Source organism: Homo sapiens, chromosome 10 (genome assembly GCF_000001405.40).
Source record: "Homo sapiens chromosome 10, GRCh38.p14 Primary Assembly".
Classification (NCBI taxonomy): Eukaryota; Metazoa; Chordata; class Mammalia; order Primates; family Hominidae; genus Homo; species Homo sapiens.
The window spans coordinates 123274701-123276451 of NC_000010.11; the positions used below are offsets into that span (position 1 = coordinate 123274701).

Here is a 1751-nt window from a genome sequence, read left to right on the forward strand (position 1 = left end):
GTTTAAACAGCACAGAGCAAAATGGATGGAGGGAGGTGGGGAGAGGAGGAGGAATTTTAACCAGGTGGCGAGAGGGAGGCGCCGTCCTTTAAGGTGGACGGCCGTTGGGTTTATCAATTATTTCTCCGGGATACAAAAAAAAAAAAAAAAGACAAAACCAAGTGGCTTCATGAAGAGGTGGAGGGTGTCATTTAGCGCCGTCTCTGAACATAGTCATTCAGCTCTAAATGGGTCGCCTGTAACAAGCGAGAAGTGAGCTTGGGGGAGACTTGCCACCCTCCCACCTCCTCCCTAATGTACGGATGAATGGCCCGGCGGAGGGGGCGGCGGGGAAAGGGAGGGGGCAGGGGCTGGCGGCCACAATTCAAAGACACCGTCAAGGTGTGTGCCCCTCGCCGTAATTGGAGAGGAAGCTGCCTTTCCCTCGCCGATTCCCTGCCTTTTTACTGGTTTTAACAAGCATGATGCTTTTAATAGTGCTTTGAGTACCATCTCTTTATATGCCTCTCCCTTTTTAAAGCAGCTTTAACTATACTCTTTCTGTCGCTAATGTCTGAAAAACTTCTACCTTTAATCATTCTCGGAAGAGCCGGCAAACAAGCGGCCCTTTCCTTTTGCAATTATGTGCCTGGTAGCCGCTGCCCGGCCGGCGAGCGGGAAGGCAGCCGGGAGCTGCGAGTGTGTGGATTATGTGGATCTGACGCCAGGCTCGGAGAGTGGGGGCATCACGAGGGGCTTCTTGTTACAGAAGGGCTGGGGGTCAATTTTAAATGCCCAAACCTGCAAGCAGGAAGCCAACAAGCCATTTGACCACTATTAACAATGCACCTGAATTTGGCTAATTAAAAAAGATTGAAATTAAGTTTGTGGCAAAACCCACACCTTCCTCCCGCAACCCATGTCCAAACTGGGCTGATGGGTGAGGTCTTCCTGTAAATTGAGCCTTGAGGGTTTCACATCTGCCTTCCAGGCTGGGTGGGTTGGCTCCGATGCAGGTTTGGAAATAAAAGGGAAAGAGGAGGGGCAGATTCCATCCCCTGTGGAGGAGTGTGCACACAGCTTTTGGGTCCCTCAAAGGAATGGCAGGGGCAAGGCTGGGAGCTTCAGGGCCTCTAGGATGGCTCCTGGCTCAACAGAGACTCACAAGCCCAGGAGGGCAGAACTGGGACAGGGAGGGCCATGGAAGTCACCTGTCCTGTCCTGTTTCCTTGTCCGTCCCATTCTTGTCTTCTGAAAATGAGACTCTTTTTTTGGAAATATCTGTCAAGGTGAAGTTCGGGAGATGTTCCAGAGGTGCCTTCCTTCCCAGAGAGCAGCTCTGGGGGTGGGGGGCGGGGGGAAGGGAGAGAGAAGGGTCTCTTTAGAGCTTCTGTGCATCCTTTATTCAAAGGTATCAGTCAGAAAAGGATCCCTTCGATCCATATCCCACATTCATTAGAGTTCAGATCCCAACTCTGGGGCACTCTCACTCTAATTCAGCTTGAGAAGTGGTTTTCTAATCTGTAAAATGCAGGTAAGAATGGCTCTGGCAGGCTGACTGTAACCGCTCTGAATATATCAAGTCCTAAGCCCTAGAACCTGTGAATGTTGTTACCTTTATAAGTAAAAAAGGTCTTCCCAGATGTGATTTAAGTTAAGGATCTTGAGATGGGAAATTATCCAGGTGGGCCTTAAATGCAATCACAAGTGTCCTCATAGGAGAGAAGCAGAGGGAGATGTGACACAGAGAGGGGAAGGTAATGGAAGAGATG

The 1751-nt window shown here is 50.1% G+C and overlaps 1 annotated feature.

The window, feature by feature from the left end:
• Positions 651 to 1150: an enhancer, noted in NCBI's record as "H3K4me1 hESC enhancer chr10:125034867-125035366 (GRCh37/hg19 assembly coordinates)". NCBI's record gives its function as "activates a minimal SCP1, AML or CMV promoter by ChIP-STARR-seq in naive H9 embryonic stem cells {active_cell/tissue: H9 hESC(naive)}" and the evidence as "EXISTENCE:reporter gene assay evidence [ECO:0000049][PMID:30033119]".